Source organism: Homo sapiens, chromosome 8 (genome assembly GCF_000001405.40).
Source record: "Homo sapiens chromosome 8, GRCh38.p14 Primary Assembly".
NCBI lineage: Eukaryota > Metazoa > Chordata > Mammalia > Primates > Hominidae > Homo > Homo sapiens.
The window spans coordinates 33,306,236-33,332,991 of NC_000008.11; the positions used below are offsets into that span (position 1 = coordinate 33,306,236).

Here is a 26,756-nt window from a genome sequence, read left to right on the forward strand (position 1 = left end):
AAAGCTGAAAATGGATCTCTTCCTTACACCTTATACAAAAATCAATTCAAGATGGATTAATGACTGGAATGTCAGACCTAAAACATAAAAACCCTAGAAGAAAACCTAGGCAATACCATTCAGGACATAGGCATGGACAAGGACTTCATGTCTAAAACACCAAAAGCAATGGCAACAAAAGCCAAAATTGACAAACGGGATCTAACTAAACTAAAGAGCTTCTGCATGGCAAAAGAAACTACCATCAGAGTGAACAGGCAACCTACAGAATGGGAGAAAATTTTTACAATCTACCCATTGACAAAGGGCTAATATCCAGAATCTACAAAGAACTTAAACAAATTTACAAAAAAAACAACCCCGTCAAAAAGTGAGCGAAGGTTATGAACAGACACTTCTCAAAAGAAGACATTTATGCAGCCAACAGACACATGAAAAAATGCTCATCATCACTGGCCGTCAGAGAAATGCAAATCAAAACCACAATGAGATACCATCTCACACCAGTTAGAATGGCAATCATTAAAAAGCCAGGAAACAACAGGTGCTGAAGAGGATGTGGAGAAATAGGAACGCTTTTACACTGTTGGTGGGACTATAAACTAGTTCAACCATTGTGGAAGACAGTGTGGCGATTCCTCAAGGATCTAGAACTAGAAATACCATTTGACCCAGCCATCTCATTACTAGGCATATACCCAAAGGACTGTAAATCATGCTGCTATAAAGACACATGCACATGTATGTTTATTGTGGCACTACTCACAATAGCAAAGACTTGGAACCAACCCAAATGTCCAACAATGATAGACTGGATTAAGAAAATGTGGCACATATACACCATGGAATACTATGCAGCCATAAAAAGGATGAGTTCATGTCCTTTGTAGGGACATGGATGAAGCTGGAAACCATCATTCTGAGCAAACTATAGCAAGGACAGAAAACCAAACACCGCATGTTCTCACTCATAGGTGGGAATTGAACAATAAGAACACATGGACACAGGAAGGGGAATATCACACCCCGGGGCCTGTTGTGGGGTGGGGGGAGGGGGAAGGGATAGCATTAGGAGATATACCTAATGTAAATGACGAGTTAACGGGTGCAGCACACCAACATGGCACATGTATACATATGTAACAAACCTGCACGTTGTGCACATGTACCCTAGAACTTAAAGTAAAATTAAAAATATATATATAATAAAAATAAAAAATAAAAAAAGAAAATGTGGAATAATACACAATGGAATACTATTCAGCCATAAAAGGAAAATAAAATCATGTCTTTTGCAGCAACATGGGTGTGAATTCAGAAACAGAAATTCAAATACTGCATGCTGTCACTTATAAGTAGGAGCTAAATAACGTGTATACATGGACATTCGGTGATAGACACTGGAGACTTGGAAGGGTGGGAGGGTGGGCAGGGATGAGGAATAAGAAATTCCTCAATGGATACAATGTACATTATTCAGGTGATATATATACCAATAGCCCAGCTTCATTTTATGCAATATATCCATGTAACAAAATTGGACTTGAACAATTTTTATGGATTAAACTACATATGTAATTTATATGTATAAATTATGTCTTAAATTTTTACATATAAAAAAAGAAAGTGAAATAAAGACTTTTTCAGACCTGCGAAAGCTGAAAAAATTTACCACCAAAGGAAAAGGATACCTGATGAAAACATAGATTCACACAAAGGAATGAAGATCAAAGGAAATGGTAATTACATGGGTATATATGTAAGGTATTCCTCCTCTTATTATTTAATCTCTTTTAAATATAATTAACTATTTAAAAACAAATAGTAACCATGTATTTTGGGATTTATTGCATACGCACAAGTAAAATGTATGATAACAACATGAAAGCTGGAAAGGAAGAAACATAATGTTGTTATACTATGTGTGAAGTGGCAATATACTATCAGTTGAACAAAGACTGTAATAAGATAAAGATGTATACTATAAACCTTAAAGAACCTGCAAAATAACAAAACAAACAGTTGTAGCTACCAAGCCAACAAAGGAGATAAAAATTGAATCATAAAAATTAATCTAAAAGAAGGCAGCAAAGAGAGCATTGAGCTCTATCAGGAGACCTGAGTTCCAGTCCTATTCTGTCTCTGGCTAATGGTAAGAATGCAGTCAGCTTTTCTCCCTGGATCCATTTTCCTCTCTGTAAAGTGAGGTGTTTGGACTAGAGTCTAGTCTAGGAACTGGATGATCTGCAAGGCTCCATGGAGCCCTAACATTCTAAAGCATCAGATCTTTTTACCAGAGATCACTGTGGAGGAAAAATTAAATATTCAATTTGAACTCAATTGAACATGGACACAAACAATGGTCACCAAGTCCCAGAACAGGTTGTGTGAGCCCCTTGAGGCATTCATCCTGCACTGTTTCGGAGAAATCTGTATTTCAATCTATTCCTATACATTAGTTAATGAAAAACAATAGACAGTTGCAAAAACAAGTTGACCTTTTTGTGTTCCTGGAGCCCAGTCACAAAGGGCCCTCGTGACTGGGCCTCATGTCAAACAACTTGTTACAAAAAGAGCTAGGGTCCCAGACTCCACCGAAGCTTCATGAGACCTCTCCTCATCTGTGCATTCTGGAGCCCAGGCTGTTGCTTCCCAGTCTGGTGGTGAATCGTCCATAGTCTAGTGAGTGTAGTGTCTGACTCTGGAGCCCAGGCTGTTGCTTCCCAGTCTGGTGGCGAATCCTCCATAGTCTGGTGGGTGTAGCGTCTGACTCTGGAGCCCAGGCTGTTGCTTCCCAGTCTGGTGGCGAAACCTCCATAGTCTGGTGAGTGTAGTGTCTGACTCTGGAGCCCCGGCTGTTGCTTCCTAGTCTGGTGGTGAATCCTCCATAGTCTGGGGAGTGTAAAAAAAAAAAAAAAAAAAAAAAAAAAAAATATATATATATATATATATATATATATATATACACACACATATTTTTTTCCTTTCCCCCTTCCCATTGCAAGTTGCTTATTACATCAATCTGCTTATTATATCAATTTGCTTATTATATCATTGGCTTATTATATCTGCATTGCCATTTACATGGGATAAAGGTTGTTTATCCTTAAAGGTATTGTGTGTGTGTGTGTGTGTGTGTGTTTTTCTCCCCTCGTGCGTCTTCCGCACAAAACAGTCACCTGAGACCTTAGAAATGAGAGCTTGGTTGGAGAGTTGAAGGAGGCTGAGAGAAAATGCCATTAGAATTTCCCTGTGGAAGGAAGATTGGATCAGGATTTAAGAACCCTGAACTCGAGTCTTCTTCTCTGCTGACCGGCCCAGTGACAGCAGGCATTTAGATTTCTGGACCCTCATCCATGCAGTCAGATGATTGATGAATCCTCAGGTCCTTGTTGCTTCCAACATTTCAATTTCTGTTTCTAGGTATCATCATCAATTGTTCCCAGGCGCTTAGTCAGTACTCAGTAAAAATAAATTAAAATATGTCTCACAAAGTCTGACCATAGTTTTGAAATTATATTAACCTTTAGGCAATTGTGGATAAAAACATTTCAGCCAAGCCCTGGCTGGATAAAATGAATGAAGCCAACCAGCAACTTGGCAGGGGAAACTGAATGGTTATCCAAGGCAATGCTTTCTTCTTTCCATCACCATGGTTACACACAAACAATTCCAACTGTTGAGGGAAGTCTTCAAGACCCAATTCTCCTGCTGAATTTCCAACCCCCGTGCTGCATATGATTTATGCTTTTATCATTAATATCTTCTCTATGCCTGAGTAGATTAAAAATAGGAAGGGATGGAAGGAGTATTTTCTGAAATGTAGCATATTGTGACCATTTGAGAAACTACTTTCATGTGGATCTGTTGACTGGGCTTAAAAATCTGATCTGACTTCTATCTTTGACAAACAGAATCATAGAATTCTTCTTATGACTCCTATCTTTTACTCCCCAGAATTTTGCCACACCACTCACAGCTGCTGAGATTTTACTAAATTGAAGGTAACTCAGAATTACTACCAAAAAAAAGAAGTTTTTTACAGTGTGCTTTACAGAAAAAGCTCAAAAACAAAATAAGGATTTGATATACAATTTCCTTAAAGTCACAACTCAGTTCTTCGTCTTGTTTCTCTGTCCACAGATGTGTTCTCTCATCAAATGTGTCCTTTTTCAAAACACAATAAAAATCCCCAGCCGGGCTCAGTGACTCATACCTATAATCCCAGCACTTTGGCCTCAAGGCAGGCAAATTCCTTGAGGCCAGGAGTTTGAGACCAGCTATGGCCAACATGGCAAAACCCTGTCTCCACAAAAATAAAAAGATTAGCATCCAGTCCCAGCTACTCGGGAGGCTGAGGCAGGAGGATCCCTTGAACCAGGGAGGCAGAGGTTAAAGTGAGCTGAGATCGTGCCACTGCACTCCAGCCTGGGTGACAGAGCAAGACTCCATCTCAAAAAAAAAAAAAAAAATATCTCCCACAGAAAAGACAGAACATTGTCGAGCAGAGCTGTGCCATTTCCATCTATTCTCCTGTGGCTTTCAGACTCTGCAGAACTTAAGTAATGCAAAGAGATGATGCCTGGTATCAGCTAGGCGCTTTAGCAGGCAAGAAATTGAAACTCAGCCCAAACCCAATTCACTATTTATTTGTAAATTTATTTTCTTATAATACAGAATGTCCTCATGTAAGGTTTGGTTAGTTTAGTTCCTCAACAATGTCATCAGAGACTTAAGCTATTTTTCCCTCCCTGCTCTGCTGAACAAAGCATTCGCTTTATCTTGGGGCTGGTACCCTCCTTGTCAGAGGCTGGGAAAACATATCCTTGATAATATCCAGTGGGAGAAAGGACCTGGTTTTTCTTTGCAGAAACCTCAAGCAAGACTATTCTCCTTGCTTTATTTGCTATTACATCCTCAATACCTTCAGGGTAGCCATGAAGACCTTCTGCATGCCAGCTGAAAGTTATCTGCATATTCCCATTTCCTGGACAAATTGTAATTTTTCTCCATGTTCTTTTAGATTAACACTGATGGGCTTTAAAAATCAGTAATTGACAGAGGTCACAATCTTATGTACAAGAAGTTTTTAGCCAGATATTTGAAGTATCTAGCATGTGGTAAAAACTCAATAGATACATGTTGAATCAATGAAAGAATAAATGAAGCACATTGCCCTAAATTGAGTTGAGCCTGAATCAGTCACTGGTAAGGGAAAGGGGATAACCATCATTACTTTCTCATCCAAGGGGATATGACCATACATCAAATACAATCCCACTGTAGAGAATCCTTCCTCTAGAGCGCCTTACCCTCACTATATAAAGACTGAAGCAAAAGCTTTGAAATTAAATTATTTTTATGTTAATGTCGGTTTTACTTCCCCTGCAAGGTTAAAGTTTGGGAAAGGTGCACTCTACTGTAATTTCTGAACATGGAATAGAGGCAGGAGGAGGATCCCTATTCCTTCTACATAAGCAATTCCCAAAAGTCAGTGGGGGAGGCACATTCCAGGAAAATTCATTCATTCAAGCTTCAGATGCCCTGTCTTTTGTTCTGATATGTTTTTGTGGTGGATAGAATCATGTCCCTCCCAAAAATATGTTCAAGTCACAACTCCCAATACCTGTGAACTTGACCGTATTAGGAAATAGAATCTTCATAAATATAATCAGGTAAAGATGAAACATACTGAATTAAGGCAGGCTCTAATTCAATGACTGCTGTCTTTACAAGAAGAGAGAAATTTGGCCAGGCATGGTCACACTCGTAATCCTAGCCTTTGGGAGGCCAAAGCGGGCAGATCACTTGAGGTTGGGAGTTCGAGACCAGCCTGGCCAATGTGGTGAAACCCCGTCTCCACTAAAAGTACAAAAATTAGCCAGGCGTGGTGGCACATACCTGTAGTTCCAGCTACTCAGGAGGCTGAGGCAGGAGAATTGTTTGAACCCAGGAGGCAGAGGTTGCAGTTAGCTGAGATTGCACCACTGCACTCCAGCCTGGGCAACAGAGCAAGACTCCGTCTCAAAAAAAAAAAGAAATAGAGAGAGAGAGAGAGAGAGAGAAATTTGGACATAGAACACAAGGACAATGCCATGTGATGACAGAGGCAGAGATGGCAGTGATGTGCCTACAAGCCAAGGCATGCCAAGGATTACCAGCAATCACCAGAATCCAAGAAGAAGCAAGAAAGGATTCTTCCCTAGGCCTTTAAAGAGAAGATGAGTCTCACCACCTTCCACATCCCCCCTCTCCTATCTCTGTTTCTAGCATGCAACTATGATGAGTTAGTTTTACTAACAACTTACATGAGATTTTATATTCCAAGTAAAGTTTTTCAGAATCTCTCCCAGCACCAAAGACCACCCAGATTAAGGAAGCTCATAATAGTCTAGGAAGCTCTTTGTCCACCCAGATGGTCAGCTTTTTCAGAACTGAAAACTTTCATGTTTTCATTTTAGAGTTCATCCTGTGCAGTTTGTGGCAATAGCTCAGAGCCATACCTTTTATCAAATCCCCAGAACGCTATTTCCATCCTTTCCTTTCATCTTTCTGAAGTGTCACAAAGCTACCAGTCTAGAAACAGCCATCTAAGTCAACCTCCTCCTGGCTAGACATTTGCAATTTCCAAATGATCGGAGTCACATGTGCCTTCTAGCACCTAGGCCATGAGACATGCATACCACCCTGCCTCCTCGGATCTTGCTGCTTCTGCTGCCGATGTCTCATTTATTCACTCATTCTATGATGATTCCATTACCATCTATTATTAATTAATATGTACTGAGTACATACTCTGTGCCAGGTACTACTCCAGGCTCTAGGAATACAGCAAGGAGAAAATGGACAATGAATGCCCATGTGAAGTGTAATTTCTAATAGGTGAAAATCATAAATAAACAAAGCATGCCAAGTGTTAATGGAGACCATGGAGGAAAATTAAGTAGGGAGATTAGAGAAAGGGGTTAGTGGGAGTACAATTTTTGAGGGACAGTCAGGGTAAGCCAACTTCTGGTTATTACAGCAAAATACAACTACAAACAGTACTTGCTTGCACAAACGCTATTTATTGCTATGAATGGTGGTAAGTTTTTCTTTTTGATTTTCTAGGATGTGTCATTCCTCAGAATGCTAAATCCTCAGTTTCTCTTCTATTTCCATGAGGCAGCTTCTTTTCCGATCCTAACCCTTCCACAATCATAATCTTCGCCCTCTTTGGAGCTAATGGTTGCAGGCATTCTCGTGGCTCTGCTTGAGCTGTACTTTCTCTGAATATGGTGCACAGAACTGATATCCTCCCTATTCCAGATGGGCTGTGAGCAACACGGAATAAAATGGAACCATCATCAGCACAGAACTGACATCCTCCCTATTCCAGATGGGCTCTGAGCAACACAGAATAAAATGGAACCATCACCTCTGACATTCCTTATTCTGCATACTTTCTTTCTTTTCTTATTTTAAAGATACTTTGCTACCTGAGAGCATAGATTCAAATTATCCTGAATATAAACTCCTCATATTTTATGTATGCTGGTGTAAACACAATTGTGCCCATTTTTCTCTTCTTTTTTTAATCACATTGCACTGTTGACTCATATGGAACCTAGAGTCAGTTAAATTGCTAAGAAATATTTATGGCTCCCAACTCTAACCCCAGGCTCTTTCCACTCTGCAGAGTCTCCTCCCTCTTGATTTCATTAGCTTTAGGAAAAATTTAATGAGTTAGGGCAGTAGCTGTGGCAGTCAGGACACACAGCACGTAATGACCTCTAGGTATCCTTTGTGCTCCCTATAACTCTGCCTACTTTATGCTAGAGATTTGATTAACACCATCCCAATCTGCAAAGCTTTAAAGTGCTGAGTTATCATCGGCCTATTTTTTCCCTGCTAATGTTTAAAAAGAAATCAATTGATGGCAGCTCATGTTTCTGTCCTTTTCGTCTCTTGCCAGAGGTGAATCCCACTGTTTCCGAGAGAGAACAGGCTGTGTGCCTGCCCTGCAGCCTCTCCAACTGAGGGTGAAAAGAAAATCCACATTCTCTTCTCACTGCCTTGTGACAATTCAACCACGTGGGATGGAGGTTAAACCTCTCTAATATCCACTCCCAAGGTGTTCTTTTGTATTATTTGCCTTTCAAAGTCAACAGGGACAAAACATCAAAAAGGCACTAACAGACAGTGTACTACAGCTGTTACGAGAGTTTAAATCCACCAGTTATTAGCTGTGAAATCATGAGCAAGTTAACCACTCTGACTCTGTTTCCCCTCTGTTAAATGGAGTCAAAAATAGTAGCTACTTTCCAAGCACACCATAAGCATTAAATGAGCTCACATGTGTAAAGCACTGGATCAGTAACTAGCACATAGCAAATACCATGTACGTGTTAGCTTCCATTTGGGGTTAGAATTAAATACATAAATTTGTGGTTTACTTCCAGTTACATTGGAGGCAGATTACTTGCTCTCTGTTTTTCGTAGGAAAAACGGTGATATAGCAGGTTCTGAAGTCAGACAGATGAATAATATCTGAGCTCAGTTGCATGACCTTGGAAACATTATTTACCTTAGGTAAGCCTCAACCTCCTCATCTGCCAAACAGTGGTAATAACACCGCCTTTACAGAGCTGTTGTAAGAATTAGGTGAGTTCAGTGTTCATAGGGCTCCTATTGAAAATGCACATTGAGTGTATGGCTTTGGATGCACAAATTGTAATGTTCATCCTTGATGGGAGAAGATGATTGCACAACAATTATGCTTCAGTAGAACCAAAACTTCTTTCTTGTTTCATGAGAACGTTTGCTTATCAGACTGCACATTTACTTTTCAAAGCTAGCTAGGTGCCTGGCAAAGAATGTTTATAGAGCATACCTCTGTGTGTAAAACCAAGGGCAACGTGATTCAGACAGCTAACACAGAAGTGAGCCTTGCCCAATAAATGCTTTCACTATACTGCCATCCCTGAATCACTCAAAATGAATTTGTGTCCTTGCTCATCTAATTTTCCTAGTAAATATCATCAGTCACCTTGAAGTAGGTCATTCCTTGCTGATAAACAGCCCTTAACAAGGCTATAAGCAGTCAGTGTTTACTACTTGATCATTAATCCCTAAAAATGCCCTATACCCAAATTCTTAATTGCTTAGACAAATGATTTCTATGGGTGATTAAACATCAGAGGGAATCTGCAGCAACTGCTAATAGCAAGGTAGTTCTTTGTGACATTATGGCTACTCTCTTCCCTCAATCCCAGGAAAAACTGAGTGAGAAGTTGAGAGAACTGTGACGGTCGTGAAGAGGGGGTCAGAAAGTGGGGGCCGTGTCCTGCCTTGTCTTCAGGAGACATGGAGACAACCAATCTGAAGAAAGGGAAAAATGAGAGAGAAACCGATGGGAACAAATGCAAAATGAAGACAGAGATAGTTGGGATAAGTTTTATTGCTTGTTCCAGCTGTTCCTGGAGGACATCTGCAGTCATGCTCTGAGATTCTATGAGACTCCCTAGCATTTGAATAATAAGACCTCTTTTTTTCATTAAGCTAGTTAGAAACCTGTCACTGAAAAAACAGAAATTCTAGAAAATATATTTTCTTCTTCCCTTTGATACTGCCTTCATGACGGATCATTTAAATCCAAGCACATCTCCTATTTTTCCTTTAAAATAATGTATGTTTCCTCCATGTTTATGTTATAGTTAGAGATGAGTGCCTAGGATTTATGCAATCTTGGCATTTCCTGATACTGTCTAATTGTGGGGCTGGGGAGTGGATTATCTTTGCTGCCAAATGTCAAGAACACCTGGATCTACCTGGAAACATAGCAAGTGCTAATTAAGAAACAATGCCAGGAGTGCAGGCTTGTTCATGCTGCACTTCTCATCACTGATCTACTATTTATTACAGGATATGGGTCATTATGGGGATAAGAGAGGTTCTGTATGAGTAGGTAACCCTTTGAAGTGGACTTAAAAAATTGACTTCCTGCTTCTATGGTGCTGGTGAGAATCCTGGGGTCAGGAGAGCTTCCTAAGATTCTCTATGCAAGGCCAGTTCCTATCTTCCCCACTTTACCTTGGCAAGCACAGAGAGACATGGTTACTAAGGGGTAACATCTCCCTGAGGTTGCATCTATGGTTAGTTAGTGAAAATAATATTAGAAAGGTCTAGTGGGTTTTGAAAACCATTTTGAAAAAGCAAAATTTTAGCCAGGCACGGTGGCTCATACCTGTAATCCCAGCACTTTGGGAGGCTGAGGCAGGTGGATCACCTGAGGTCAGGGGTTTGAGACCAGGCTGGCCAACATGGCAAAACCCCATCTCTACTAAAACTACAAAAAAAAAGAAAGAAAGAAAGAAAGAAAGCTGGGCATTGTTGCAGGCACCTGTAATCCCAGCTACTTAGGAGGCTGAGGCAGAAGAATTGCTTGAACCCAGGAGGTGGAGGTTGCAATGAGCCAAGATTGGGCCACTGCACTTCAGCCTAGGTGACAGAGTGAGACTCTGTCTCAAAAAAAAAAAACAAGGAAAGGAACAGCAAAAATTTGTTGTGTCTGTGAATGTGAGGCAAGGTGACACAGATTAAAGTGGAGCAATGACTTCCTGTTCTCTTCCCATATTTCTCACCACTTCCTTCCCATGATCCTATGGCCCTGTCTTGAGGAATTCACTGTAATTATTCTGTCTGATTCTCCATTTAAAGGCAACTTTTGAGCAAATGTGTAAAGTAGTGGTTCAATGTCCCCCACCTGAGACTGAGACAGAACCCCCTCATCAACCCCCTTCTTAAGGGCCTGCTGGGCCCCACTAGGCATGAAAATAAAGGAAAATCTTGAGTTCCTTCAAGGAAAATGCCAGGCACCTAGCTAGCTTTGACAAATAAATGAGCAACCTGATAAGTAAGAAAGTAATAATAGCTTAAAACAGTAGCAAAAGAAGTTATAGCCACAAAATACTTGGTTCCCCATAAAAACTAAAGATAACAACATATGTCCTTGAGTTGTTTTCAGAAGCCTGGACCCCCACCAAAGAGAAAATACTGTCCACTGGCACATCAATTTCAGATAAGGGGGAACCGAGGACTGAACTCTGACAGTTATTTTTTGTTCTAAATTTATTCTTGAGGGGTCTGAAGGAAGTCATGCCCACAGGCCAGACCTCAACGTTCCTTTCTGCTGACCCCAAGTTTTTAGACAAAGCTTCACTTCCATAGCCAATCAGAAATCAGGGAATCTTTGAATCTACCTATGACCAGTAAGCCCTCACTTCAAGATACTCCACCCTTTTAGGCCAAACCAACGTATAACCTCCATACTCGGTTTTGGAATTTTGCCTGTAACATCTGCTTTCCTGAAATGTATAAGCCCTGTCTTTTAAAACCCTTGCTTGTAAGCAAGCCATCAGGGAGGTCAGCTCTCAAGTGTGAGCTGCCCAATTCTCTTTGCTGGTTGCCCTGTAAATAAACACCCTCCTTTTTCCCCCCAGCAAAACTTCAGTGTGGATGTTGGCCTTACTGAGCTGGGCAAGCAAACCCCAGTTTGGGTCTGTAACACACCCACTCATCAAGCTGTCCCTCCGCGCCTAGAGCCTCAGACTTGACTTCCTTACCAGAGTCTTCATTTCCCCCATCAGGGCCCCAGGCATTTCCAGCCTTACTTCTCCATCCTTCATCCTCATGTCAGTTGCCTTCCATGTATTCACTGCTCTGTTCTCTGTTGGTTTCCCAGTAAATTATCCCTTTTGTGCAATATACTTTCAAACAAATGTCTGGTGAATAAAATGCCAATTTCAAAGAAATGCCTTTCATGGTAGAATTGCAGGCAAAGTGTCAGACAGGTGAGAGAGTGCAGTCTTTTGATGCTCTGGGCATAAATAGCCTGTTATCTATGCATTGGACCAGCTTCTACGTCTCTGTATCTGAGTCCACATGTAAGAATTCCATAGTGCAGCAAAGTGCTTAGGCTTATTTTATTTCCTGCTGTTTTGTATTTTCGTCTGAAGTTTAAACTGCTCCACAATAATATACTGTTTCACTTAACCTAAAAAGGAAAGCTTGTAATTCAGAATCTTGGGGGTGCTTAAAAGCTCAGGCTAGAAATAAATATTTATACAAATCCTACAATGTCTAGCACATTCCCTTGCACAAAAAGGGAAAAGAGTGAGGGGAAGGCAAGATTTTATGCACACATACACACATGTATATATGTATTTATATGTGTGTGTGTATGAATTCTATTATATTATTATAATATATAATGTACATATATTATAATATAATATATTATGATTATAATAATCATAATATAATTAGCTATTTTATATAAATATATATATAATATATAAATATATTGTATATATATTTATATAATATATAAATATATTGTATATATATTTATATAATATATAAATATATTGTATATATATTTATATAATATATAAATATATTGTATATATATTTTATATATATTTATATAATATATAAATATATTGTATATATATTTTATATATATTTATATAATATATAAATATATTGTATATATATTTTATATATATTTATATAATATATATATATTTTATATATATTATATATATATATTTTATATATATTTATATAATATATAAATATATTTTATATATATTTTTTATATCTTTATATAATACATAAATATATTTTACATATATTTATATAATACATAAATATATTTTACATATATTTATATAATACATAAATATATTTTACATATATTTATATAATACATAAATATATTTTACATATATTTATATAATATATAAATATATTTTACATATATTTATATATTATATAAATATATTTTACATATATTTATATAATATATAAATATATTTTACATATATTTATATAATATATAAATATATTTTACATATATTTATATAATATATAAATATATTTTACATATATTTATATATTATATAAAATATATTTATATATTTTACATAATATATAAATATATTTATATATTTTACATAATATATAAATATATTTTATATATTTTATATAATATGTAAATATATTTTATATATATGTTTATATAATATGTAAATATATTTTATATATGTTTATATAATATGTAAATATATTTTATATATATTTTATATATATGTATATATTATAGAAATATATTTTTATATATAGTATATATTATATAAATATATTATATATATATTTTTTATATATTTATATAATATATAAATGTATATATTTTATATATTTATATAATATATAAATATATATATTTTTATATATTATATAATATATATATATATTTATATAATATATAAATATATATATTTTATATGTATTTATATATTATATAAATATATATTTTATATGTATTTATATATTATATAAATATATATATTTTATATATATTTATATATTATATAAATATATATATTTTATATATATTTATATATTATATAAATATATATATTTTATATATATTTATATAATATATAAATGTATATTTTATATATATTTATATATATATAATATATATATTTAGCCAAACATTATTAGTTCTGATGTACCTGATGCTGACACTGGTTGAAGAGCTTTCAGGCTTTCAGGCCAGCTCCTGAGGCATAGTCTTTAAGAGGTGAAGAAGGTATAGCTAGCTGCACCTGGACTTGAGTTACTGATCAGCTCTTGGCACTGACATAATGAATAAATGAATTCATGATTCATGGAATGGAGAGTTACTAAGGATGTACTATGTGCCAGACACTGGAATAGACTATACCATCCTCTGCTTATAGCTTTGTGTTTTCCATTCACTGCCTAGAAAGACTATATTAAGAAATGCTTTGGGTATCTAAGAACAGAGACTATGCCATGTGTATGTCATTTATATGAGATCTTATAAATGATTTTATGAGATCTTAACCTTTTAATTGCTGATGATTTGATTGATGCTTTGATTGCTAAGACATATGGAAGGGGGGCATCTGATACACATTTTTGTGTTCACTTCTCAAAATAAATTAGGGGGAAGAGTATAACCCAACATTGAAGTAGAACAAAATAAAGTTATGATCAATGATAATGAGATAATATTCCAATAATTTGCAACTAGCCTAAGAGAGTTTATTTAGCTCTCAGTACCTAGAATGCTACATTTTCTTTTTTAATTCTGGGGTGTTGACCAAGTTTAAATTCTTCTGGCATGTTAGGATTTATAATGGATTCTTCCAAATCAAACACTATTTGCAATGGTTTCTCTTCTATTGCAGCACAATAAACTACTCCAAAACTCAGTGGTTAAAATTAATAATTAATTCTTACCTTCCATAGATCTGGGGTTACTTCAGCCAAGCTAGGTAGTTTTCGGTTGAGATCTGTCACGTCAGATGGAGCTGTGACTATCTGAAGCTTAACTGGGCTGAACGATTAAGATAGTGCACTTATGGCTGACAGTTGATGTCAATTAAAGACTGGAAGCTGAAGTGGAGCTTTAAACCAAAACACATGGCCTCCATGAGGCTTGGGCTTCTCATAGCTAGACTTCATGGCAGCTGAGTTACAAGAGGTAGAGTCAGAAAACCAAGCATTCCAGGAGGCTCAGACAAAAGCTACAAGGCTTCTAATCCCAGAAATTATCACTTCTGAAGCATTTCATTGGTTAACAGTAAGTCACAGGATGAGTCCAGATTCAAGTGGAGAGGGCTACATAAGGGCAGGAATACTGGGAGGCCTGGCTCATTGGAACGCCATTTTTAGACGCTAGCTACCACCATCAATATTCATAAGACCTCCACCTGCTACTAATGATTCATAAGACCTCCACCTGCAAAATACACTCACTCCTTCTAAGACTTCCAAATCTCATCCCATTATGGCCCCTGGCTCAGGTATGAAAGTCCAGAATCTCATCATCTAAACCAGGTCTAGGTAAGAATAGGCTAAGTATAGTTCCCGAGGTGCAAGTTCTCAAGTGGCAGCAATTCTCTTCCAATTGGCTATTACTACATAAAAAGCCACTGAAAGTTCTCTGGCTTATAAAAAACGTGATTTGTGAGTCAAGGATTCAGAGAAGATACAGCTGAAGGGTTTGTCACATGGCACCAGCTAGAGCAGCTGGGGCTCATAGATCACTTCCAAAATGGCTTTTTCACTCACACATCTGATGCTTCGTTGCTACCTGGTATCACTTTCTCTCCTTCCTTCCCCATTTCTCTCTCCCTCCCTCCACAGCATCTCTGCCACTGAGATAACTTTATGTGACTTTGGCTTCTCGCAGCAGGGTGGTCTCAGGATAGTTGGACCTCTTATTTGGTCACTGGCTTCCCCCAAAGATGCTCTCGAAAGTCCCAGACCATCTCTTCTGGCATATTATATTGTCAAGCCAAGTCACTAAGACCAGCCCAGATTCAAAGGTAAGGAAATAGATTCCATTTCTCAATGGGGGAATGACATGCTTGTGCCTGAAGAAAGGAATTGATGGTGGCCATCTTGGAAACAAACTAACAAGTATTCCTTATTGCCTACCAAAAACATGGGGATCTCCTAGGAAAATAACTCTTCTACTCTTCTGCCAGGTCTCAGCCTAAATGTCACTTCCTCGGGGCAGCTTTCCTTGATTCCCATAGAATACTTAGGTGCACCTTTTGAATGCTTATATAATAAGCACCCATATCACAGCAACTGTTACTACCTTTTAATAAAATGGCTTATTTAACTATATGTCTCCATGACTAGTTGCTGCAATGAGTATATGTCTGGCTCACCACTGCATGCTTAATACCCAGCATAGTACACCACACATGATCAACCCTCAACAAATACTTAACGGAATAAAAATGGAAACTGATTATGTCCATGGCCAACCCTGCTGGAGCTATCATTTGGTTTCAAGAGTCAGGACTGAGTTCTTGGTCTTCGTCTTTCCCTTTTATTTCCTTCCCCTTCAACTTTTCCCTAAATGTATAAGAGCAAGTTTTCATGTTAATAACATCATCAGGACTTGTCCTGAGCCCACTTTTTCTGCTGCAGCTCCTGTGGGCTGGAGGAGAGATTAACATGTGTAAGACACAGAAGGGAGGGGCCCTAAGCTGCTCCTGAAAATGAATCTCCCATGATGCACCAGCCTTGAGCTTAATAGGGAGCATGATCTTCAATTTGCTGAGTGTAGCTCTACAAGGGCCCTGAGCTTGGCTTGTGACATGCCATTTCTCAGAGGATTTCTACTGCTGCTGCTGCTACAGGGAAGGATTGATGACTCTGATAAGAGATTTGAACACAGTCCTCTTATAAAACAGAAGGGATGGGGTTGTCAGGCTAATTGGGATGGCAGGCAGGTGTATGTGCATACCATACATAATAATGCATGCATATTATATACATAGTATAAAAGGGTAGAATATTTGAGGATAAAGCAAAAGCCAAAAGGACAAAGACAACAGGCAATCTAATCCACTTAATGGGTCAAGGAGCTCAGAGCTGAGCTGCAAATGCATCATTTGATAACGGTAATGAAAAAGACAGCAATCTATATCTACAAATAGCATTAAGGCAGATTTGGTTTAGAGGCCAAACTAAGTTGATCTGAAATTTATGAGACTGGCTGTCTCGCAGACATGCTTGGCAAGGGAGGTGCATTCAATTCCTCCTTTTTTCCTTCAGAGCTCACTGTGAGTTAGATTTTGTTTCTGAGGTGGGTTTTCCCAATAAGTGGAGCTTTTTTTTTTTCAAAGACAACTAAGTGTTTTGCCACCCAAGCTTATCTTAGTCGTGAGGATGCCAATTTTACAAGTGGGCAACAATAATTTTAATTGCCCTTTTGGGCATTTCATTTCAGTGTCCAATCTCTGTGGCTCTCCCGCTTGCAAGGAAACAGGAGCACACATACAAGTGCACACACACAGTTAAAACTTGCAGGTGGCTTGAGCTGGAATTTGTAGCAAGGCATGTGTCTGAGTCATGACTTAGCAGCTGGTCCTAGAAAATATCTGAACTGTGTGTCTTGATGATGCGGACAGTATGTTTCATGTCTGCAAACCCCATCACAATATTCTGGGCAAAATGCTGTTGGAAACGTGCCTTATTTTCGACCAAAGTTCTCGTACATCCTCCACAGGAATGACAGTGCGTTGCACTGCAAATCTGCAGGGTGCATGAAGCTTTTTTCTTCTTCTGAGTCCTCAGTCAATATCAGGTAGCACTCACAAAGGGTAATGAAGTCTGCTTTCAACACAGCGATGTTCCTATAATTATGTGCTGATTGACCTTCACTTTGTGCTGTGCCTGCAAAGAAAGGGGACCCTGATATATTGCACAGCACAGAATATGTGCAAGTCAGATGCCTTGGAGTAAGTAATGAGCTTGTCCCTACCACATGTGGTGGAAGGTTTCACTGTAGACTTACTCCCAATTCAAGAATATATAACAGCCTACCAAATCAGAAGTTTGGGAAGGGATACGGGGCTATCAGTTCTAAAAACAGCCACCCCGGGATTTAGATCTTTACCTCTCTTGTCAGAAACCTTATAATAAGTGAAGTAACTTTTTTTACTTATTCCACAAGTTCAGCCTAGGCACGTGCTGCCTTGTGAAAGAAATATTCATTCTACATAAGATGATGTAACTGTATGGATAAGTTCTCACCCCTCTTTCATGCTTTAGTTTTTCTCTGCTTAGGTAACTACTGTAATGAATAAACTCAGAAATATACAATGACTCAAGTACAATAGACATGTATTTCTTGCTCACCTAAGAGCCCAGAGCAATTTCAAGGAATCAGGGCTGGGTGGTGGGAAGGAATGCCCTGCCCTATACAGGCATTCAAAGTGGAGGCTGATGGAAGCTTTTTCAACATGTGATGTCCATAGACTCCCCAGAGGTTTCCATCCCAGTCAGCTGGGATGTAGTAAGAAGCACAAAAAAGCCCATGTGAAAGGTTGCATGAACTATGACCACATCACTTCTCCCCACACATTCCTCTGGCTAGAAGAAATCAGCCACACCTCACAGCAAGGGAGGCTGGAAATGTCACCTAACTGGGTGCCCAGGAGGTAGAGAACATGGATAATGGTGAGCAAATAGCAGGCTCTTCCCCTCTCTGTCCTTTTAGTGTTGGAGTTCCCAGTTTTTCAGGGTCTGCCTCGATATTGTAATAGAACATGCTCTCCCTGGACCCTTTTTTAGGATGCAAGGATTTGTACATGTAAGATAATCTCAAATGTCCAGCCAAAACTCACTTCCTAATTCAAGATTGAGACTCCAAAACCCTACTCTATATCTATCTGATTGTCTAACAGGCATCTCAAATGTGACAAATATAAAACCAAATTTGTTATCTAAACCCCAGCTGTAAAATGGAGGTAGTAATAGTATCTATTCATAAGGGTGTGGTGAAGATTAAATGAGTTATTACACGCAAAACACTTTTAAAAGTCCCTGGAACATAGTGGATGCATAACAAATGTTGGCTATTATTATTATTATTTGCACCCCCCCAACCCCACTCTTCTCCCACAAACCCTCCCCCATCTCACAGCACCATCGCCTATGTAATAGATGAATTTGGAAGTCATAGCTGCCCACTCCTTCTTTCTCAGCTCTTACCCTCATCCAGTCACTTTCAAATTATTAGAAGAGCTGCTGCCTGATCTTCATTCCCAGTGCTAGGCTCTGTCTCAGACACTTACTACTTCTGAGCTGCACAGTTGCAAAATCCTGCTACGTGATCACCCCTTCTCTGGTCTCTTCTTCTTCTAACCTTCCTTCAACAATACTGGCAGAGTAAATAGCTTAAAATTTCCTAAAAGATGTTCTCAAATACTTTAATGGCTTTTTTATTGTCTATAAGTATAAAATCCACTCTCCTTAAAGCTAAAAATTTGGGTCAAGCCAGATTGGAAAGGCTCTGAACTCTATCCTGGTGCCCACATCCCGTTCTTCCCTTTCTCTGTCTCAATCATAGCCAACTACCACACTTTTCACTATCTCTGTGTCTTGCTGATTTTGGTCCTTGTACCTAAAAGTTCATCCTTTTTTCTTTCTCCTAAATTTCTCACACTCAATTCAAATATCACCCCATCAGAGTGGCAGTCCACCCCCAATCAGAATTCATTTGGTATGCCTTCATTTTCCCTAACATATTATTAAAACATCTATCACTTATCAATTATGATTTGTCCTGAAGTTAACTGAGCCTGTGTCCTCTGTTTGACTATGAGTGCTTGAATGCTCCCAAGTGGAGTTAGCTATCACCACCATGATACGTTAATTTATTTTTTAAAGTTTCTCAGCTCACTGAAATGTAAATAGAGAATTGTATTTTTACCTCAGTAAAACTTCAACTGGGCTGTGTTGATTTCTCTACCACAAAGGGCAGTGGCTCCCTTTACAATATTGTAGCAGATTCAGTCAATATCTAGTACCTGTTAGATACAAGAATATCTCCTGGTCTGGATCCAAGACACCTGCTCCTTCTTTTTCTAGCCTGAAGTTCCTCAAGTATTGGGAGAAGGGATAGTGGATGAGAATCTCCTTACATGGTAGGGGCTCTCTCTGGACTCATTCTGGTTCAGTCTATTGTGGCTTCCAGTTAATGGTGTGAATGGTATTTCCAGGAAGAGAATGGCTTTAATCCAGCCCCCTCCATAACTGAGGACCTCTCCCAGAAGGGTTCCACTATCTGTACACACCCCGCGCCCACCTGTGTTTCCAGGCCAAGCAATGCACGGTTTGGTGCAGTTGTTCACTAGGCAGACCACAGCTGCTGCTTCTCCACCAAACCTGGTGCTATTTGCATGGAGCTGCTGGGACTGCTGGAGTCAGGTCCTCTCTGACACCTTCTAAGTAAGGCCTATGAAGAACTGGGATGAGATACAAATTACCTCATCTTTTCCCCTAACACTTTATACCACAATATATTTCAAGGCTGTTCACATGGCCTACTCCAGAGGGTCTTTCATCCTCAGAAATCTCCAGATCCAAATTCTCTTTGTTCAAGCATGGCCCCAAATCTCAGGGAACATGTGAGAGTCTGGGACTGAAAGGGACAATGTAGGCACTCCTACACTGGGGCTCCAGCATGGCCCTCCAGTACCCTTAAGTCATAGTGCCCTAATTCAAGATTGAGACTCCAAAACCCCACTCTACGTCTATCTGAGTATCTAATAGGCATTTCAAATGTGACAAATATAAAACCAAAGTGGTTTTAGTCATATATTCAGTATTACATATAGCTCATTTAATTGAACAAATATTTGTTATTTGTTCAATACAGTATTCAGTATTACATATAGTTCATTTAATTGAACAAATATTTGTTAAATGTCTACTTCCTACTGAGCTCAGGAGCTCGGGGTATTTCTGAGAACTTGACAGCTCAGCACACACACAGTCAAGGAGTGAAATGCCAACCTCCACAGCTTGAAGTTACCTCCAATCTTTACAAGAAATTCTTTTAGAGCTTCCTTTGCCTGACTTTAGAGATGGGAGGTCATAGCTTCTCACCTGGAATATTGCTCTGCTCATGTAGCCAAGACTCTCCTACGTTTCCTTTTCGTTTGTCTGTTTGTTTGAAATAGGGTCTCCCTCTGTGACCCAGGGTGGAGTATAGTGGCAAGATCATAGCTCGCTGCATCCTCAAACTCCTGGGCTTATCAGTCCTTCCACTCAGCCTCTCAAGTAGCTGGGACTACAAAAGCATGGCCCATGCCCAGCTAATTTTATAAAATGTTTTGTAGAGATAGGGGTCTCACTATGTTGCCCATGCTGGTCTTGAATGCCTGGCCTTAAGCCATTCTCCTGTCTCTGCGTCCCAAAGTGCTGGGATTACAGGTGTGAACCACTGCGCCCACTCCTGCCCTACCTTTTGGTCCCCTTCTCCTAAAAGGAGGGAGTAGTGTGATAGGAGGTGAAGGGGAGCCTGCACTGCTCTGGTCTCCCAGTAAGCCCTGGGCAAATGATGCTGGCCTCGTTTGCTGAAGAGCTTCTTTGGGATAGAATGTATGTAGGGCCTTTTTTCTTCAGCTTTGGGCCTTGGCTAAATTCAGGGTCAGGAAAAAAGTCATTGTGACACACTGTAAGATGTCTTATATATGTAGACTTCTGCTGGCCTTAGCACCATTTTCATAATACTTTTCTCTAAGTATATGTCTCCCTGCAGACACTGGAAACTCTTTAAAGGAATATATCTTCTTCATTTGCTATCTCCATTTCTTAGCACAGTACTGAGCATTTTGTGGGTATTCAATGACTGTCTGATATATTATTTTCTGACCCCCAAGAAAGTCGAAGTCTCAGGATCACAAGATGCCAAGCTCCTCCTGTTTCAGAAAACAAAACTCAGGTCCAGAAAAATGAGGTCATTTATCCAAGGGCACCCAGCTAGATGGGATTCCGTTTCACACACAAGTTCATACACTTAATGGTGCAGCAGAAGCCTAAGTAAGCCAAGCATATTTGATGACTGGCCTTTGGAGGAAAGAAAGTGGGTAATGGAAAACACTGCACAAATTCTAAAAGTTGATTTTTGCAGATGAAGCACATTTTTCATGCCCTGATCTGGGAGGGTTTGCCAGTGTGTACCGTGACTAATTCCTGTTGGCCCAGCCTAGACTTCCTGTTTTCAGGGCAGCGTGACAGATTTGTTGGTAGAATTTGGCTTTAATTCATTTCAGGCTGATCCTGGAAACCAGAGGCTTTGTCATGTCTCATGGCAACATTAACTCCATTTTTCTGCCTTCACTCCTTCTATTATAAGCAGAGGCCACTCAATAGGGCATTCTTAACTGCCTGCTGAAGGTGACAGCCAGAAGTATAAATAACTCTTCTCATTTAGTCTTTTATTCTTTTCTGGGAAAAGTAGTGATCTTCTTCTCTTATCTCTCAAGTGGATCCAAAGCTGATTAAATTCATTCAAGACAGCTTACATGTTTCTTGGTGAAACATAATTTCCAGGACAGGCTGTCCGAGGAGGGGTGACTCCTACAGTGTCATCGGATGAACCCACAGTGACTCAGGGTCAATAAAAGATTTTCTATGGGGTCCAGTCATGTCCACATTTAATTCCATCCATTAGAGCATGGAGTGGTTGAAACCTGAGATATGTCCAGGAAGGTTTTACTCCTGCTTTTTCTGTAAGCCAAAAACAAAAACAAAAACAAAAAACAAAAAAAAAAAGCAGCTCACTTTTTCAAAATTCCCCAAGTCGGGGTGGAAAGGAAAACAGGTGGAAAACAGAAGTCTGCAGCTCTGCCCAGAGCTTTTCACATGGGGGTGATTCCACGGGGCACTCTGGACAGTATGCAATGAAGACTGGTCTCTGGGCACAGATCCCATGGAGGGAACAGTCAATGAGTCAACAGCCTGTCTGCATGGGTACCTTCTGTATTGTTCACCTTCACGCATGGAGTAAGGCCTGATCTAAAAACTACCACCAGCCCGAAGCCATCCCTGGCAGAGAAATAGAAGTCACAACCCTTTATTAGCTGGTGAGTCTTGTGCCCAAACATGAACCAATTGTCATGGTCAGAGAGATGTAGAACACTGGTTGGCCATTGTTTAACCAACACCCAAATCTGTAAAGGCAAAAGGAGCACCCAGTGAATGGCAGAGCAGCACCCACAAAGATATGGGGGCAAGGGAGAGGGCATTCTCTAAAAAGAGGAGCCTGGGCAGACACCCATCCATCAGTAAAGACCCCTATACACTTTTTTATTTATACATTAAAATTCTCTCATTTTACCTAAGATAATTTTGATATTTCATGTGACATTTAGGTATTTTATGTAATGCCTAGTGAATCTATCGGACATCATGTTGAAATATATTTTTCCAAAGACTGTTAGGCTTTGTATATCATACCCAAGAATTGTACACACTGGCTACCTTCTACACTTTTCCAACAATATACCACCTGTCAAATTTCTACATCAAGTGTCCGTCTTTCCCAATCAATTTCTTTCTTTTCCCATCTCTAGGAGTCACATGAAAAATATTTAGAAATAAACAAGTACTTCAGGATGGAAAAGATGGGGAAGATGTATTGCTATTGATTGGGCATACTTATCTATGGGAAAATGTGAAATATAACAGGACATTTGGAGAGTCTAAGAGTAAGTGATTATTTTCAAATACATTTCCAGAAAGCTAAGCACTAGCAGAATTTTCTGAGACAAAATCTAATTCTTACAAGGTCTATTAAAGGAGAGGCTGTTACCTTTATGCAGGAGCTGGAAAGCTGGAAATTGCCTTCTACTGAATACTTCTCTTTATTCTTCTTATGATACTGGACCCATAACTATTACCTCTATGACACAACTGCTCAATACTGCAAAGGGAAAGTTAGACTGATTTCCCCATTCGTGACATAATGTGACTTGGAGTCCCCAGTGCTATAAGCAATGCCACAGAGAAGGAAGAGAGAGGCGCTTCCCCTTATTTTCATTTTACTCTTAAGTAAATGTGGACAGCCAAGAATTATAAGTGCTCATAATGAGGTGTTCTTGCAAGATTTAATGTGTTTCTAGGCTGCCATCAGTATAACTGTGGGATTTTGATATTTCTTATAAATGGGTCTTTCATTTCAAAGAACATTTTAGTTACTTTCTGTCCAAAGATTCACTTAAGCAAAAGCTTAACCTAATGGATAATAAAACAATAATATTCCTTTTTACTTTGTAAGTCTCCTCAACCAACAAATACTTAATAATAGAAGGAAGGTCTTCTCCACCCCAGATCATTTTACCCTTTAACTAATAATAATAATAATAGAAGGAAGAGATGAGAGGAAGATGCTGGTGTTTAGCAATTAGAGGGTGGACAATGCTTTAGTAAGGCAAGTTGGAAAAGGGGAAAAGAAACTAAAATTTTTTAAACGTTTGCTTCATTCCAAGCACTCTCTTAGATATGGGGTTGACAAAGATAAATATAAAAAGATTTCCAGGCCGGGTGCAGTGGCTCACGCTTATAATCCCAGCACTTTGGGAGGCTGAGGCGGGCAGATCACAAGGTCAGGAGTTTGAGATCATCCTGGCCAACACAGTGAAACCCCATCTCAACTAAAAATGCAAAAATGAGCTGGGTGTGGTGGCAGGTGCCTGTAATCCCAGCTACTCTGGAGGCTGAGGCAGGAGAATCACTTGAACTCAGGAGGCGGAGTTTGCAGTGAGCCGAGATCATGCCACTGCACTCCAGCCTGGGTGACAGAGCTAGACTCCATCCCAAAAGAAAAACAACAAACAAAAAAAATTTCCACCCCTCAAAGAAATCACAGGTTAGCAGGGAAGACAAACATGCACATTAGCTGGAAAAGTGCCTCACACATTGAAGATGTCTTTTAAATGCTTGTTGGCCTGATAATTTACCTATAATAAAATTTAAATTCTGGCTCTACCACTAACAACCTCTGTGGTGTTGCACAAGTGACTTAACATCTCTGTATTATTGGGAACCACTTTGCACAGCACCTGGCACATAAATGTAATTGTAGTTCATATTATCATTGTTGTTGCCTTTGGCTCCCTTCACCTCCTGTCCTGGCCCCTCTTCCTCCCTTCCTTAAAAACCCATGCTCCAGTCATCCCAAACCAGGAGCCCCTTCCCAGGCGTGCCATGGTGTTTCACATCTCTGCGTCTGTGGTTTTCTTTCTATTTTGTTCATCTCAATTGGGCTTCCCAACCTGGTTGTGAAGTCTCTATGGGGAGGCACTATGGTTTTTCACCTTTTTAATCCCAGCGCCCAGCATGCTTCCTAGAACAGTAGGAAGTAGACATTTAACAAATGTAGACATATAACAAATATTTATTCAATTAAATTAACTATATATAATACTGAGTAGGGCTGGGCATGGGCTCACGCTTGTAATCCCAGCACTTTGGGATGCCGAGGCAGGTGGATCACCTGAGGTCAGGAGTTTCGAGACCAGCCTGGCTAACGTGATGAAACCCGATTTCTAATAAAAATACAAAAAATTAACCGGGCGCGCGCCTGTAATCCCAGCTACTCGGGAGGCTGAGACAGGAGAATCACTTGAACCCAGGAGGCGGAGGTTGTAGTGAGCTGAGATCGCGCCATTGCACTCCAGCTTGGGCAACAAGTGTGAAACTCTGTCTCAAAAAAAAAAAAAGACTGAATATTATGACTAAAACTATACACTATCAAAGTAGAGAAAGAGTGATGGATTCTTCATAGAGAAAGAATCATGGAAGGTTTCACATAGAAGCAGACGGCTTAAGTTGTGAATTTTGAAAGATAAATTCATCAAGGGATGGAGGTTTGGCCTATGCAAGTGTAGTTGGCTTAAGAAAAATACAAGTATTACCGGGGGCAGTGGCTCACACCTGTAATCTCAGCACTTTGGGAGGCCGAAGCAGGCACATTGCTTGAGCCCAGGAATTTGAGACCAGCCTGAGCAACATAGTGAGACTCTATCTCTAAAGATTTTGTTGTTGTTGTTGTTGTTGTTGTTTTTTGAGACGGAGTCTCGCTCTGTCGCCCAGGCTGGAGTGCAGTGGCGCGATCTCGGCTCACTGCAAGCTCCGCCTCCCGGGTTCACGCCATTCTCCTGTCTCAGCCTCCCGAGTAGCTGGGACTACAGGCGCCCGCCACCACGCCCGGCTAATTTTTTTTGTATTTTTAGTAGAGACGGGGTTTCACCGTGTTAGCCAGGATGGTCTAGATCTCCTGACCTCGTGATCCACCCGCCTCGCCTCCCAAAGTGCTGGGATTACAGGCGGAGCCACCGCGCCCGGCCTCTAAAAAGATTTTTAAAAGTAAGCAGGCATGGTGGCACACACCTGTAGTACCAGCTACTCAGGAAGCTGAGGCAGGAGAATCAAGTGGGCCCAGGAGATAGAGGCTGCAGTGAGCTATGATCAAGCCAGTGCACTCCAGCCTGGGCAACAGAAAAAGACCTTGTCTCAGAAAAGAAGAAGAAGAAGAAGAGGAGGAGGAGGAGGAGGAAAAAAAAAAAAAAAACGAAGCCAGGAGCGGTGGCTCATGCCTGTAATCCCACCACTTTGGGAGGCCGAGGCGGGCAGATTATTTGAGATCAGGAGTTCGAGACCTGCCTGGCCAACATGGTGAAAGCCTGTCTCTACTAAAAAAAGAAAATACAAAAATTAGCCAGTCATGGTGGCCTGTGCCTGTAGTCCCAGCTACTTGGGAGGGTGAGGCAGGAGAATCGCTTAAACCTGAAAGGTTGCAGTGAGTCAAGATCACCCCACTGCAGTCAAGCCTGGGCAACAGAGCAAGACTCTGTCTGAAAGAAAAAAAAAAAAAGAAGAAGAAGAAGAAGAAAGAAAGCGAGGGAGGGAGGGAGGGAGGGTAGTTGGTCCTAAATGTAAGAAATTTCACAGCGTGAGTGGGTGCTAAGTAGGGAGCTGAATGAAGGAGAAATAGAAGCACACATTTGTTCTCTAAGCAACAATTTTTTCATGCTAAGGAAAAGCACAACATAGATTGTTTAGCTTTATTTTAGCTTCTCTTCTGCATCAACAATATTATTTTTGTAAACTCGTGTGTAATGAGGAAGGAAGGGGCCTTAACCATTTCTCAGCCTTAACAGATAGATAGACCAAAAAATAACAAACAACTCTCACTGCCATTACAACTCCCCCATTTTCCAAGTCTCTTTTGCCCCAGCCCTTCATTTCCCATGGCCAATGGTGCCCTCTTCCCTATTCCATCCACAATCTGCACATATCTGTTCTCCTTCATCTTCGGGCTTGAGCTTGTATAGAAGCCAATCATAGCAACCTGAAGTTCAGGG

At 39.7% G+C, this 26,756-nt stretch overlaps 1 protein-coding gene across 4 annotated transcripts in view; it reads right to left on the reverse strand.

Annotated features, from left to right (window-relative positions):
* Positions 1-1,825: 1,825 nt before the first annotated feature.
* The window catches only part of POFUT3 (protein O-fucosyltransferase 3), a 165,086-nt gene continuing 140,155 nt past the window's right edge, over positions 1,826-26,756 (reverse strand). For 3 of the 4 annotated variants that reach the window (XM_011544677.4, XM_011544676.4, XM_047422325.1), the window contains one exon: positions 1,826-2,892. In XM_011544677.4, the coding sequence (XP_011542979.1) occupies positions 2,577-2,892 (316 nt within the window). In that variant the 3' untranslated portion in view covers positions 1,826-2,576. Of the gene's footprint in view, positions 2,893-17,243; positions 17,275-26,756 lie in introns of those variants that run through there. The other variant, XM_011544681.4, reaches the window with a different exon arrangement.